General features: G+C 42.3%; 1 protein-coding gene across 13 annotated transcripts in view; it reads right to left on the bottom strand.

The window, feature by feature from the left end:
• The window catches only part of FUT8 (fucosyltransferase 8), a 387,280-nt gene that overhangs the window by 14,152 nt on the left and 358,606 nt on the right, over positions 1 to 14,522 (bottom strand). For 12 of the 13 annotated variants that reach the window (XM_047431179.1, XM_047431177.1, XM_047431181.1 and 9 more), the window contains 2 exons: positions 7,949 to 8,195; positions 5,647 to 5,823 (listed from right to left, as the gene is read on the bottom strand). The exons of the other annotated variant lie outside the window; for it this stretch is intronic. In XM_047431179.1, coding sequence (XP_047287135.1) covers positions 5,647 to 5,823; positions 7,949 to 8,195 — 424 coding nt within the window. The remainder of the gene's footprint in view (positions 1 to 5,646; positions 5,824 to 7,948; positions 8,196 to 14,522) is intronic. 13 annotated transcript variants of the gene reach the window in all.

Genomic DNA, 14,522 nt, shown 5'->3' with positions numbered 1-14,522 from the left:
CATCATTTAAATCCCCGAGAAACGACTCAAGTCGAAAATAAAAATAAAAGGATTTACAAAGAGAAAAAATTATGCATAAAAGGCTACTACTATATTTATAACAGAATATGGAGAAAATTGCTGCCTGGACTACCACTGGCAGGGGAGTTATAGCTGTTGGCTACAAGGAGGAAATTCTGGTTTTACTATTCTTGCAGTCCAAGTAGATACTGCCAACTGTACTATAAGGGTTGTTTGGTATAAAACTGTCATGCTGTGCTATGGATCAAAGCTGTAAAATGTTTATATCTAGCTGAGTGTGGTGGCATGTGCCTGTAGTCCCAGCTACTCAGATGGCTGAGGTGGGAGGATCATTGAGCCCAGGAGGTCGAGGCTACCGTGAGCTGAGATTGTGCTACTGCACTCCAGCCTGGACCCTGTATTTAAAAAAAAAAAAAAAAAAAGTTTATATCCTTGCATCTAAATACTTCCAAGTCCAGAAATCTAGCCTAAGGAAATAATGTGGATAATTTTAGGCATACGTCATAGCATTACTTATAAGAATGAAACATTGGAAATAAGCTGACTGCCTAATATTAGAAGAATGGTTGGTCAAATAAGCAACGGCATATCTGTACAGCGTATATGTATGTAGTCATTAAAAAAGATGTTTAGGCTGGGCATGGTGGCTCACGACAGTAATCCCGGCACTTTGGAGGACAAGGCAGGAGGACTGCTTGAGCCCAGGAGTTCGAGACCAGCCTGAGCAACATGCAATCCCGTCTCTACCATAAAAAATTAGCTGGGCATGATGCTGCATGCCAATGGTCCCAGCTACTCAGGAAGCTGAGGAAGGAGGATTTCTTGAGCCCAGGAGGTTGAGGCTGCAGTGAGCCATGCTTGCACCAACGCATTCCAGCCTGGGTGACAAAGCAAAAAAAAAAAAAAAAAAAAAACATGTTTACAATGACTATTTTAGCAACCTAGGGGAATGGATCTATTGCTGTATTAAGTGAAAAGAGTTTAAATTATATAGAATTCGATCAACTACAGTCATGCTCCAGTTAACAACGAGGATATGTTCTGAGAAATACATCATTAGGCATGTTATCATCATGCAAACATCATAGGGTGTATTTACAAAAACCTAGATGGCATAGCCAACTATACCACACCTAGGCTATACATATATATCCACCTAGGCTATATGGAATAGCTTATTGCTCCCAGGCTACAAACCTGTACAGCAAGCTATTGTATTGAATACTGAAGGTAGTTGTAACACAATGGTAACTATTTGTGTTATCTAAACATAGAAAAGGTACAGTAAAAGTATAGTTTTATAATCTATGGGACTACCATCATACAGGTGTTTCATCGCTGACTGAAATGTTATGTGGTACATGACTGTATTAGAAAATGAGACTACATAAATGGGATTGAGGATAATACTTTTTCCTTGATTCGGTAATGATATGGTTTGGCTGGGTCCCCAAACCTTTCCCGTGCTGTTCTCATGATAGTGAATAAGTCTCATGAGATTCGATGGTTTTAAAAACAGGAGTTTCCCTGCACAAGCTCTCTTCTCTTGTCTGCCACCACATAAGTCACGCCTTTCGCCTTCCATCATGATTGTGAGGCCACCCCAGCTATGTGGAACTGTAAGTCCATTAAACCTCTTTCTTTTGTAAATTGCCCAGTCCTGAGTATGTCTTTATTAGCAGTGTGAAAATGGACTAATACAGTAAATTGGTACAAGAAGTGGAGTGCTGCTGAAAAGATACCTGAAAATGTGGAAGTGACTTTGGAATTGGGTAACAGGCAGAGGGTGGAACAGTTTGGAGGGCTCAGAAGAAGACAGGAAAATGTGGGAGTTTCGAACTTCCTAGAGACTTGTTGAATGGCTTTGCCCAAAATGCTGACAGTGATATGGACAATAAAGTATGGGCTGAGGTGGTCTCAGATGGAGATGAGGAACTTGTTGGGAACTAGAGCAAAGGTGACTCTTGTTATGTTTTAGCAAAGAGACTGGCAGCATTTTGTCTCTGCCCTAGAGATTTGTGGAACTTTGAACTTGAGAGAGATGATTTAGGGTATCTGGCGGAAGAAATTTCTAAGCAGCAAAGATTTCAAGAGGTGACTTGGTTGCTGCTAAAGGCATTCAGTTTTATAAGGGGAGCAGAGCATAAAAGTTTGGAAAATTTGCAGCCTGACAATGTGACAGAAAAGAAAATCCCATTTTCTGAGGAGAAATTCAAGCCAGCTGCAGAAAACTTGTGTAAGTCATGAGGAGCCGAGTGTTAATCACCAATACAATGGGGAAAATGTCTCCAGGGTATGTCAGAGACCTTTGTGGCAGCCCCTCACATCAGAGGCCCAGAGGTTTAGGAGGAAAAAATGATATTGTGGACTGGGCTCAGGGTTCCTCTGCTGTGTTCAGTCTAGGGACTTGGTGCCCTGCATCCCAGCTGCTTCCGTCATGACAAAAAGGGGCTAAAGTATACAGCTCAGACTATTGCTTCAGAGGGTGGAAGCCCCAAGCCTTGGCAGCTTCCACATGGTGTTGGGCCTGTGAGCGCACAGAAGTCAGGAACTGAGGTTTGGGAACCTCTGCCTGGATTTCAGAGGATGTATAAAAACACCTGGATGCCCAGGCAGAAGTTTGCTGCAGGAATGGGGCTGTCATGGAAAACCTCTGCTAGGGCAGTAGAGAAGCAAAATGTGGGGTCAGAGCCCCCACACAGAGTCCCTACTGGGACACCGCCTAGTGGAGCTGTTAGAAGAGGGCCACCATCCTCCAGACTCCAGAATGGTACATCCACCAACAGCTTGCACCATGCACCTGGAAAAGCCGCAGACACTTAATGACAGCCCGTGAAAGCAGCCAGGAGGGGGGCTATACACTGCAAAGCCATAGGGGTGGAGCTGCCCAAGGCCAAAGGAGCTCACCTCTTGCATCACTGTGACCTGGCTGTGAGGCGTGGAGTCAAAGGAGATCATTTTGAAGCTTTAACATTCGACTGCCCCACTGGATTTCGGACTTGCATGGGGCCTGTAGCCCCTTTGTTTTGGCCAATTTCTCTCATTTGTAATGGCTGTATTTATCCAATGCCTGTACCCCCACTGTATCTAGGAAGCAACTAACTTGCTTTTGATTTTATAGGCTCATAGGTGGAAGGGACTTGCCTTGTCTTCGATGAGACTTTGGACTCTGGACTTTTGAGTTAATGCTTAAATGAGTTAAGACTCCGGGGGGACTGTTGGGAAAGTATGACTGGTTTTGAAATGTGAAGACATGAGATTTGGGAGTGGCCAGGGGTGGAATGATATGGTTTGGCTGTGTCTCCACCCAAATCTCATCTTGAATTCTCAGGTGTTGTGGGAGGGACCCAGTGGAAGGTAATTGAATCACGGGGGCAAATCTTTCCCCTGGTGTTCTCGTGATAGCGAATAGTCTCACAAGATCTAATGGTTTGAAAAATGGGAGTTTCCCTGCACAAGCTCTCTTCTCTAGTCCGCTGCCATGTGAGAATTGCCTTTCACCTTCTACCAAGATTGTGAGCCCCACCAGGGATGTGGAACTGTAAGTCTATTAAACCTCTTACTTTTGTAAATTGCCCAGTCTGGGGTATGTCTATCAGCAGTGTGAAAATGAACTAATAGGGTATTTACCAACTTGCATATTTTTAAGTGAGCATGAATTAATTTGCTCATCAAGAAAACAAGGAAAAAAGCTTGTGATGCGTTCCAGAACAAGTGAAAGAGTAGACAAAATTAGTATCTTTTTCTTCAACCAAGCTACAAATTCAGTTTGGTGTTTTAAATTGAAGAAACATGGTAAACTATACATTTTTTTATTGTGTTTTGTGCCCAAATGTTCATTTAATCCCTCTTACATTAACTCATTCTTATACTTGGCTGATGAATTATTTGCCCTTTGTTTATATATATACACATCTCAGTGTGTGTGTGTGTGCACGCATGCGCGCATGTATATGGTAGTGTGTGCATATGCTCAAGAGAGGGAGCCTTGAATAAAAAAGGCAATTTGCTTCAGGTTCATTTGGATTCTTCAGAGGTAGAAAGAGGATTTAAATTATTATCTAATGACTTAGATTAATACCTGCATTATAGTCCTCATTCTAAATTTATTTATTTTCCTCATCCCCATTTGAAACATGGGGGACAACAAATACATTAATTAAATAGCCAAAAAGCTTAAATGATTAAGTGTTAATGTTTTCAAACTGATGGGATTGAAATCAATACCATTTAATATTTACTGGGCATTTAACTACAGCTAGGTATTATGTCCAAAGTACTTATAATCTAGTGAAGGAGACAGAAGTAAGCAAGTGCTAAACACTACAACAGAGAACTGTACAGAGTGGGGAACACAGGCCAGTCAAGGGTTCAGGGATGACTTCTGGAGGAGATAGTATCTGAGCAGAACTAAGACTAGAATTTTCTTCTCCTTAATTTCCTACTTTTACATACATTTAATACATCCTTCATTTATTGATAGTAAATAAAGACTAACTCCAGGTTTACTCAGATCCTATAAGAAGTGTCCAATCAGGATTTGTGCTTTATCTATGTGTTTTCATAATACCCCATGTTAACCCTATAATAGTGTTACTCAACTGTAGGGTAATTGTTTATTGCCCTATTAGATTTGGGAATTCCTTGACAGCAGGGAGTATCTTGTTTATCATGAAATCCCCAGCACCAGCACAGTGCCTGAAATACAGGCAAGCTCAAAAAATAATTGTTACTGTTCCATACACAGTAGTAGTCTTTATTCCTCAACTTACAAAACTTACTTTTTGATTCCTTACCTTTCTTTAGTATAACTTTCAAATTCCACAAATTATTATAAGACAAAACTCTACATATGTGTTCAGTTGTCTGTAACTGTTAATGAAGACAGTGAAATCAAAACGATAAGCACCTGGTTTTATTGCTAACAGTCTGTATGGCTGGCTAGTGTTATCGACTGAACGTTTACATTCGCACAAATTCCTATGTTGAATCCCTAACCCCAATGTGATGGTGTTTGGAAATAGGACCACTGAGAAATAATTAGGCTTAGATGAGGTCATGAGAATGGGGCCCTCATGATGAGATTAGTGTCCTTATATGTGGAGACATCAGAACACTTCCTCTCCTGTTCCCTGCACACACAAAGAAGAGGTCACAAGAGCACAGAGTGAAATAGTGGCTGCTTACAAGCCAAGAGAAAATGAAATCTACCTTGCTAGCATCTTGATCTTGAATTTCCCAGCCTCAGACCTGGGAGAAACAAATTTCTGTAATTTAAACCACTCAGTCTATGTTATTTTGTTATGGCAGCTCCAACAGACTAGTGAAGATTTTAGTACCAAGAAGTAGGGTGATACTTTTAATGATAATAATGATTATTGCTGGTGACAATGCGTAAGTCAGTGGTCCAGTTCATTTTAGACTTCTTATAAGGCATTATTGGATATGGCTAATAAAAACACTTTGATTAGACTGACAGTTACACAAGTACATAGTCCATTGAATTTTTAAAACCCTAATAATTAGCAATAATAATATACAAAAATCACAAGTCATGGGAAGTAAGAATTCTTTTAAACTGAAAGAGACAACCCCACTCTAGAATCACTAGTTGGTCTAACTTACTTTGTTTTTGCCTCCTTTAATAAAGAAGGGTCATCTGTGGCCAAATACACTCTTTTTTTGTCCACTTGCATTCTGCGTGCAAGAAGCTGAAAATGTTCTTCAACATGCACCATGTACTCTTCAATGGGATGGAAGGCAGCTTCTGTTCCCACTTTGTCTGTGCGTCTGACATGGACTCTGGGGGAGAAATTCAGATTCTACTGGTAATGTACTGACACTGGGTGCTTTGAGGGTACTCAATTTATACCCCTACTTATGGTGGCATTATAGGCATTTTTAACTGATTTTTCTTTCATTTTCACTATTAGAAAAAGTAAAACACATAGTATTTTAAAAACTCAAAAATACATATTCTAAATATATTTGCAGGCTAAACAATACAAGGGGAATTAGAAAGTAAGTAAAGCCTTTGAAGAATGATTTCTTATAGAGAAAATAATTCACATCTTAGGAATAAATGGGAAATTTCAGAGCTGCATTTCATACTAGGCAGCAACCAGCTGTCTGGAAAAAAACTGAATACAACTTAAGATTTTTGTTACCAGGATGATACCAGGATTCACAGTTGTTACTAAAGAACATTAGAGATATTATTTGTAAAGTTCTGATACCAAGGGTTTTCCTCTTTATTTTACCCTGGAGAGTCACCATAACTGCCAGCTTGTAGAACTTAAAAGTTGTCCCAGGAAAACATAGACCTGGATAAACTTTTACAGCACCGTTAAGACCAGCAAACCTTTTAACGGTTTTTACTATTTTAGGTAAATGAAACCGATTCCAGCCCTTCTGTTGTGGGCATAATGCATTTCCTTTCTCTGTTTTTCACCATATCAAATGACAGCAGATATTAATTTCACCTGTCATATTTAAGAAAAGCCCCAAAATTGTAAAATTGGGGACACAGATTCACACTTCCCTGTACTGAATAAGGCACTGACTTCCACAGTTTTCTCCTCTCTCCTCCCATCTTAGTGTTTCCAAAGTAATTTTTTTTTTTTTAAGACAAGGTCTTGCTCTGTTGCACACATTGGAGTGCAGTGGCGTGATTATGGTTCACTCCAATCTCTGCCTCCCAGGCTCAAGTGATCCTCTCACCTCAGCCTCCCGAACAGCTGGTACTACAGGCATGTGTCACCAAGCCTGGCTAATTTTTGCTTTTTTTTTTTTTTTTAATTGATGGGGTTTCAACCATGTTGCCTATGTTGAGTTTTCTCAAACTTCTGGGCTCAAGTGATCCACTTGCCTCAGCCTCCCAGTGTTGTGATTACAGGCATGAGCCACTATGCCTGGCCCCAAAGCAATATTAATGGAAATAAAAATAACAGTTTATTTTCATAAATTAAAACACCCTCCTTAAATCTTGCCTTCCCCTCCCCCCAAATTACTAAATCACTATTTATATGTAGAAAAAGGTAGACTTATACGCCTTTAGGTCACAGTATATGGGCCAAACTTAAGGCCAGTTTTTTATTATGAATCTGGAGTGAAGGTTTGATTTCACCAGAGTTACTCTGCCATCTTCACGGCTATTCTTTGCTTTGCATTCCAGACTATAACCCAGATGTGGATACAATCATATGAACATCTATTCTATCATCTTTCCTTCCCACATCCTTCATAATCACTCTTTTTCTGGGGAAATTGGAATTGTTCAGTGGGCTCTATAGAGATGAAGTGGGCAGAACGAATGATTCCATTGAATTTCAATCAAAAGTTACATGAGAAGAAATACGATTTGATATTCTGACTTCACATGTACCTTCTTTACGTCTAACACTTAGAATGGGGTCAATAACTCCTCTACATATGAAGACTAAGACACAAGGAAAGATGTGGGGTGGGAAATATGAAAATAAAAATAAAAAGAAGCTGGACATGGTGATACATGCCTTTAGACCCAGCTATTATACTTGGGAGGCTGAGGTAGGAGGATCACTTGAGCCCAGGGTGGTTGAGGCTGCAGTGAGCCACTACACTTCAGCCTGGGTGACAGAGTGAGACCCTATCTCAAAAATAACAACAACAAAAGCCAAAAGAGAGCTGTGATAAGAGGAGAAAGAAGCAAAGGAAGAGGAGAACTGGAGACAGTAATAGAGCACTACTAAGCAACTTTCTTAGCTGTTCTAAGTAAACAAACAAAAAAAAATAGTCTCCATGTGACCTTAGGATAGCTCTAGAACCTCTGTCCTTTGGTGGGACTATAAAAATTGAACTACATATTGTAAAATTCACAATATATTGTAAAGATACATAACCCTAACTACTACATATCACAGTTTGAGGGAAAAAATCAGATTCTTACCCAATAACTGGATGTTTGAAGCCAAGCTTCTTGGTGGCTTCTTCTATTTCTTTTTCTAGCCAAGGCTGTGGGCGGATCAAGTATTTGACAAACTGAGACACCCACCACACTGCAGGGTCACCATGCACTCGTACAAGTCGATCTGCGAGGTCTTCTGGTACAGCCAAGGGTAAATATGGAGGACGGGGATGAAGACTGTCTACAATGGGAAGCTCGACCACTTGAACATTTTTGTCCTTCACTTCACCTGACAATATTGAAACATATAATCATTACCACATGGTATTCCTTATACATCCACCATTCAACAAGAACTTATTCTGAGTGCTTTCATCCTCACAGCAACTCTAAAGAAGTATAATCTTCACTTTACAAAGGAAGTTAAATAACTTGCTCGAAATACCAGAGCAAAAGTGACGGAGGTGAATTTCACATGCAGGTTAGTCTATCTCTCAAGTCTCTGGTCTTTTCTAAAAGTTTCTATCATAACATGCTATCATACCAACACCTCATGGTATGCAGAACTCAAAGTATCTAATCAAAGAATGACAGTAGACACAGCCAGCTAGCAAAGTTCTATTTTTTGTTGTTGTTTTGGAATTAGAAAATAAAGTGTTCTCGAAACTTCTAGCTTTTCATTACAGCAAAATTGCTCTTGCATTACTTTCATGACAGAACACAATGACTCTGGAAACACCTGAAGATTATAATTATAAGCCAATCATCTACATCTTTTAAAGAAAAAAATTAGATAATTCTAAAATCTTTTTTTTTTTTAATCTATTGGAGGGAGATGAAGCAAGATGGCTGAATAGAAGCCTCAACCAATCGCTGCCCCCACCACAGGAACACCAAATTTAACAACTATCTACACAAAAAAGCACCTTCACAAGAACCAAAAATCAGGTAAGTGATCACAGTACCTGATTTTAACTTCATATTGCTGAAAGAGACACTGAAGAGAGTAGGAAAGACAGTTTTCGATTGTCTACTACCCCTTCCACCCCCATGCAGTGGCCGTGTGGTGCAAAGAATCTGTGTGCTTGGGGGAGGGGGAGCACAGTGATTGTGGGACTTTGCACTGGAACTCAGTGTTACCATGTCACAGCAGAAAGCAACACCAGGCCAACTGGCAAGCAACACCCGGGCCATTAGCAAAGAACTCAGCCAATGCCCATGGAGGGAGAACTTAGATGTGCCCTAGCCAGAGGGGAAATGTCCATCCCAGCGGTTGGAGCCTGAGTTTCAACAAGCCGCACCACTATAGGCTGAAGTGTCCTGGGGCCCTAAATGAACTTGAAAGGCAGTCTAGGCCACAAGAACTGTAATTTCTAGGCAAGTTTTAGTGCTGTGCTGGGTTCGAGAGTCATTGGACCTAGGGGGCACGTAACCTAGTGAGCCACCAGCTGAGGTGGCTAAGGCAGTGCTTATGCCACCCTTTCCCTAATCTAAGGCAGTGCAGTTCACAGCTCCAAAAGAGACTCCTTCCTTCCACTTGAGCAGTAGAGAGGGAAGAGTAAAGAGGACTTTATCTTGCAACTTGGATAACAGCTCAGCCACAGTGGAACAGAGCACCAAGTGGGCTCTTGGGGTTCCTGATTCCAGACCTTGGCTCTTGTATGGCACTCCTGGACCTGCCTGGGCCAGAAGGGAGCCCAGTGCCCTGAAGGGCAAGTCCCAGGCCTGGCAACATTCACCACAAGCTGACTGAAGAGCCCTTGGGCCTTAAGTGAACATGAACCGTAGCCTGGCAATAATCCCTGTGGGCTTGTAGTGGTGGTGGCCATAGGGAGAGACTCTTTTGCCTATGAAAAGAGGAGTGAAAAGTGGGAAGCACTTTGCCTTATGGTTTGGATGCCAGCTCAGCTGCAGGAGAATAGAGGACCAGATAGGGTTCTAAGGTTTCCAACTCCAGATGCTGGCTCCCAGATGGCATCTCTGGACCTGCCTGGGGCCCAGGGGAACTTGCTTGCTGTCCTGAAGGGATGGATAAAAGCCTGACTGGCTTTGCCACCTGCTCATTATAGAGCCCTAGAACTTTGAGCCAACACAGGAGGTAGCCAGGTAGGGGTTACACTGGGCCTTGGGTGAGATCCAGTGCTATGCTGGTTTCAGGTCTGGTCTAGTGTAGTTCCAGTGGTGGTAGCCACAAAAGTGCTTGTGTCACCACTCCCCCAACTACAAGAGGCTTGGAGCACAGAATCAGAGACTCGTTTGTTTGGGACAAAGTAAGGGAAGAGAACAAGAGTCTCTGCTTGGTAATCCAGAGAATTCTTCTAGACCTTATCTAAGACCACAAAGGTAGTACCTCTGCAAGTCTGTAAGAACCACAGCATTATCGGGCTTGGGGTGCCCCCTAATGTAGATATGGCTGCAATGACCAAAACTGGATCACAACAGCCAACTCCCTTCAAATATCTGGAAAGCCTTTCTAAGACAGGTACAAAAGAGTTCAGATTGTGAAGACTACGATAAATACCTTCAATGCCCAGACACCAATGAACACCCACAAGCATCAAGACCATCCAGGAAAACATGGCCTTGAAAAACAAACTAAATAAGGCACCAGGGACCAAATCCTGAAGAAACATAGATATGTGACCTTTCAGAGAGGGAATTCAAAAGAGCTATTTTGAGGAAATGCAAAGAAGTTCAAGATAACACAAAGAAGGAATTCAGAATCCTATCAGATAAAGTTAACAAAGAGGTTGAAACAATTAAAAGGAATCAAGCAGAAATTCTGGGGTTGAAAAATGCAGCTGACATACTGAGTCTCTTAATAGAAGTCATCAAGCAGAAGAAAGAATTGGTAAGCTTAAAGACAGGCTATTTGAAAATACACTGTCAACAGAGACAAAAGAAAAAAGAATGAAAAACAATGAAGCATGCCTATAAGATCTAAATAATAGTTTCAAAAGGGCAAATCTAACAGTTATTGGCCTTAAGAAGGAGGCAGAGAGAGATAGGAACAGAACGTTTATTCAAAGGGATGAAACAGAGAACATCCGAATTCTAGACAAAGATATCAATATTCAAGTACAAGAAAGTTATACATCAACCAGATTTAACCCAAAGAAGACTACCATTCAAGGCATTTAATAACCAAACTTCCAAAGGTCAAGGATAAAGAAAGGATCCTAAAAGCAGCAAAAGAAAAAATAAATAACATACCATGGAGCTCCAATATGTCTGACAGCAGACTTTTCAGTGGAAACATTACAGGCCAAAAGAGAGTGGTATGACATAAACTACTGAGGGAAAAAAAACTTTTACCCTAGAATAGTATATCCAGTGAAAACATCCTTCAAGCTTAAAGAAGAAATAAAGACTTTCCCAGACAAACAAAAGCTGAGAGATTTCATCAACATCAGACCTGTTCTACAAGAAATGCTAAGGGGAATCCTTCAATTTGAAGGAAAAAAGGTGTTAATGGGCAATTAAAAAATGATCTGAAGGTACCTCACTGGTCATACTAAGCATACAAAAAACCACATAATTTTATAACACTGTAATTGTGGTATGTAACCTATTGATATCTTAAGTAAAAGACTAAAAGATGAACCGATCAAAAATAACTACAACTTTTCAAGACATACTTGGTACCATAAGATATAAATAGAAATAACAGAAAGTTAAAAAGTTGGGGGGACAAAGTACAGAGTATTTATTAGACTTCTTTTTGATTGCATGTTTGTTTATGCAATCGGTGCCAAATTGTCATCAGTTTAAAATAACGAGCTATAAGTTATTTGCAAGCCTCATGATAATCTCAAATCAAAAAACATACAATGAATACACAAAAAATAAAAAGCAAGAAATTAAAACAAACCACCAGAGAAAATCACCTTCACTAAAAGGAAAATAGAAAGGAAGGAAAGAAGGAAGAGAAGACCACAAAATAACCAGAAAACAAATAACAAAATGGCAGGAGTAAGATCTTACTTATTATTAATAACACTAAATGTAAACAAACTGAATTCTCCAATCAAAAGACATAGAGTGGCTGAATAGCTAAGAAACACAAAATTCAATGATCTGTTACCTACAAGAAACATACTTCACCTATAAAGACACACAGACTAAAAATAAAGGGATGGAAAAAGATATTTCATGCCAATGAAAACCAAAAAAGAGCAGGAGTAGCTATACCTGTAATAGACAAAATAGATTTCAAGAAAAAAAAACTATAAAAAGGGACAAAGAAGGAGGTGAGGAGCGCCTCTGCCTGGCCGCCCCGTCTGGGAACTGAGGAGTGCCTCTGCCAGGCCGCCCCGTCTGAGAGGTGAGGAGCGCCTCTGCCTGGCAGCTGCCCCGTCTGGGAAGTGAGGAGCATCTCTGCCCAGCCGCCCCGTCTGGGAAATGGGGAGCGCCTCTGCCCGGCTGCCCCGTCTGGGAAGTGGGGAGCGCCTCTGCCCGGCCGCCCCGTCTGGGAGGTGAGGAGCGTCTCTGCCCGGCCGCCCATCGTCTGGGATGTGAGGAGCGCCTCTGCCCGGCCGCCCTTCGTCTGGGAGGTGAGGAGCGCCTCTGCCCGGCCGCCCCGTCTAGGAAGTGAGGAGCGCCTCTGCCCAGCTGCCCTGTCTGGGATGTGAGGAGCCACCTCTGCCCAGCTGCCCCATCTGGGAGGTGAGGAGAGTCTCTGCCTGGCCGCCCCGTCTGGGAAGTGAGGAGCGTCTCTGCCCGGCTGCCCTGTCTGGGAGGTGAGGAGTGCCTCTGCCCGGCCGCCCATCGTCTGGGAAGTGAGGAGCGCCTCTGCCCGGCCGCCCCGTCTGGGAGGTGAGGAGCGCCTCTGCCCGGCCGCCCCGTCTGGGAGGTGAGGAGCGCCTCTGCCCGGCCGCCCCGTCTGGGAGGTGAGAAGCGCCTCTGCCCGGCCGCCCCATCTGGGAAATGAGGAGCGCCTCTGCCCGGCTGCCCGTCGTCTGGGAAGTGGGGAACGCCTCTGCCCGGCCGCCCCATCTGGGAAGTGGGGAGCACCTCTGCCCGGCCACCCCGTCTGGGAAGTGTGGAGCGCCTCTGCCCGGCCACCCCGTCTGGGAAGTGTGGAGCACCTCTGCCCGGCCGCCCCGTCTGGGAAGTGGGGAGTGCCTCTGCCCGGCCGCCCCATCTGGGAAGTGGGGAGCGCCTCTGCCCGGCCGCCCCGTCTGGGAGGTGAGGAGCGCCTCTGCCCGGCCGCCCCGTCTGGGAAGTGAGGAGCGCCTCTGCCCGGCCGCCCCGTCTGGGAAGTGAGGAGTGCCTCTGCCTGGCTGCCCCATCTGGGAGGTGTACCCAACAGCTCCAAAGAGACAGCGACCATCGAGAACAGGCCATGATGATGATGGTGGTTTTGTCAAAAAGAAAAGGGGGAAATGTGGGGAAAAGAAAGAGAAATCAGATTGTTACTGTGTCTGTGTAGAAAGAAGTAGACATAGGAGACTCCATTTTGTTCTGTACTAAGAAAAATTCTTCTGCCTTGGGATGCTGTTAATCTATAACCTTACCCCCAACCGTGTGCTCTCTGAAACATGTGCTGTGTCAACTCAGGGTTAAATGGATTAAGGGCGGTGCAAGATGTGCTTTGTTAAACAGATGCTTGAAGGCAGGAAAAAAAAAAAAAGAAATCCTGTCTAGAATAAATTCCATTATTTTCCAAAAAAAAAAAAAAGGGACAAAGAAGGTCACTATATAATGATAAAGGGATCAATTCATCAAGAAGATATAATAATTATAAATATATATGCACTCAACACTGGAGCACCCAGATACATAAAGCAAATATTACAGCTAACGAGAGAGGTAGACCCCAATATAATAATAGCTGGAGATTTCAACACCTCACTTTCAGAATTGGACAGACAGAAAATCAACAAAGGAACATCAGACTTAATCTGCATCAGAAACCAAATGGACCTAATAAATACTTATAGAACATTTCATCCAATGGCTGCAGAATACACATTCTTCTCCTCAGCACATGGATAGTATTACAAGGACAGACCATAAATTAGGTCACAAAACAAGTCTTAAAACATTCACGAAATTGAAATACTATCAAGTTGTTTTTTTTTTTTTTTGAGAGAGGGTCTCACTCTTGTCCAGGCTGGAGTGCAGTGGTGTGACCTCAGCTCACTGCAGACTCTGCCTCCCAGGCTCAAGTGATCCTCCCACCTCAGCCTCCTGAGTAGCTAGGACCACAAGGTATGTGCCACTGTACTCAGCCTCAAGTATCTTCTCAGACCACAATGAAATAAAACAAGAAATCAGTAACAAGATAAATTTTAGAAACTATACAAACACATGGAAATTAAATAATATGTTCCTTAAATACCAATGGATCAATGAAGAAATTAAGAAGGAAATTAAAAAAATTTCTTGAAACAAACGATCATGGAAACACAACATACCAAAACCTATGGGATACAGTGAAAGCAGTACTGACAGAGAAGTTTATAGCAGTAAGTGTCTACATCAAAAAAGTAGAAAAACTTCAAATAAATGACCTAATGATGCATCTTAAAGAACCACAAAACTAGAGCAAATCAAACCCAAAATTAGTAAAAGAGAAGAATAAAGATCAGAGCAGAAATAAATGAAACTGAAA

Source organism: Homo sapiens, chromosome 14, assembly GCF_000001405.40.
Source record: "Homo sapiens chromosome 14, GRCh38.p14 Primary Assembly".
Taxonomy (NCBI): domain Eukaryota; kingdom Metazoa; phylum Chordata; class Mammalia; order Primates; family Hominidae; genus Homo; species Homo sapiens.
Note: the sequence above shows the minus strand (reverse complement) of the source record. Positions and strands in the feature narration are given on the sequence as shown.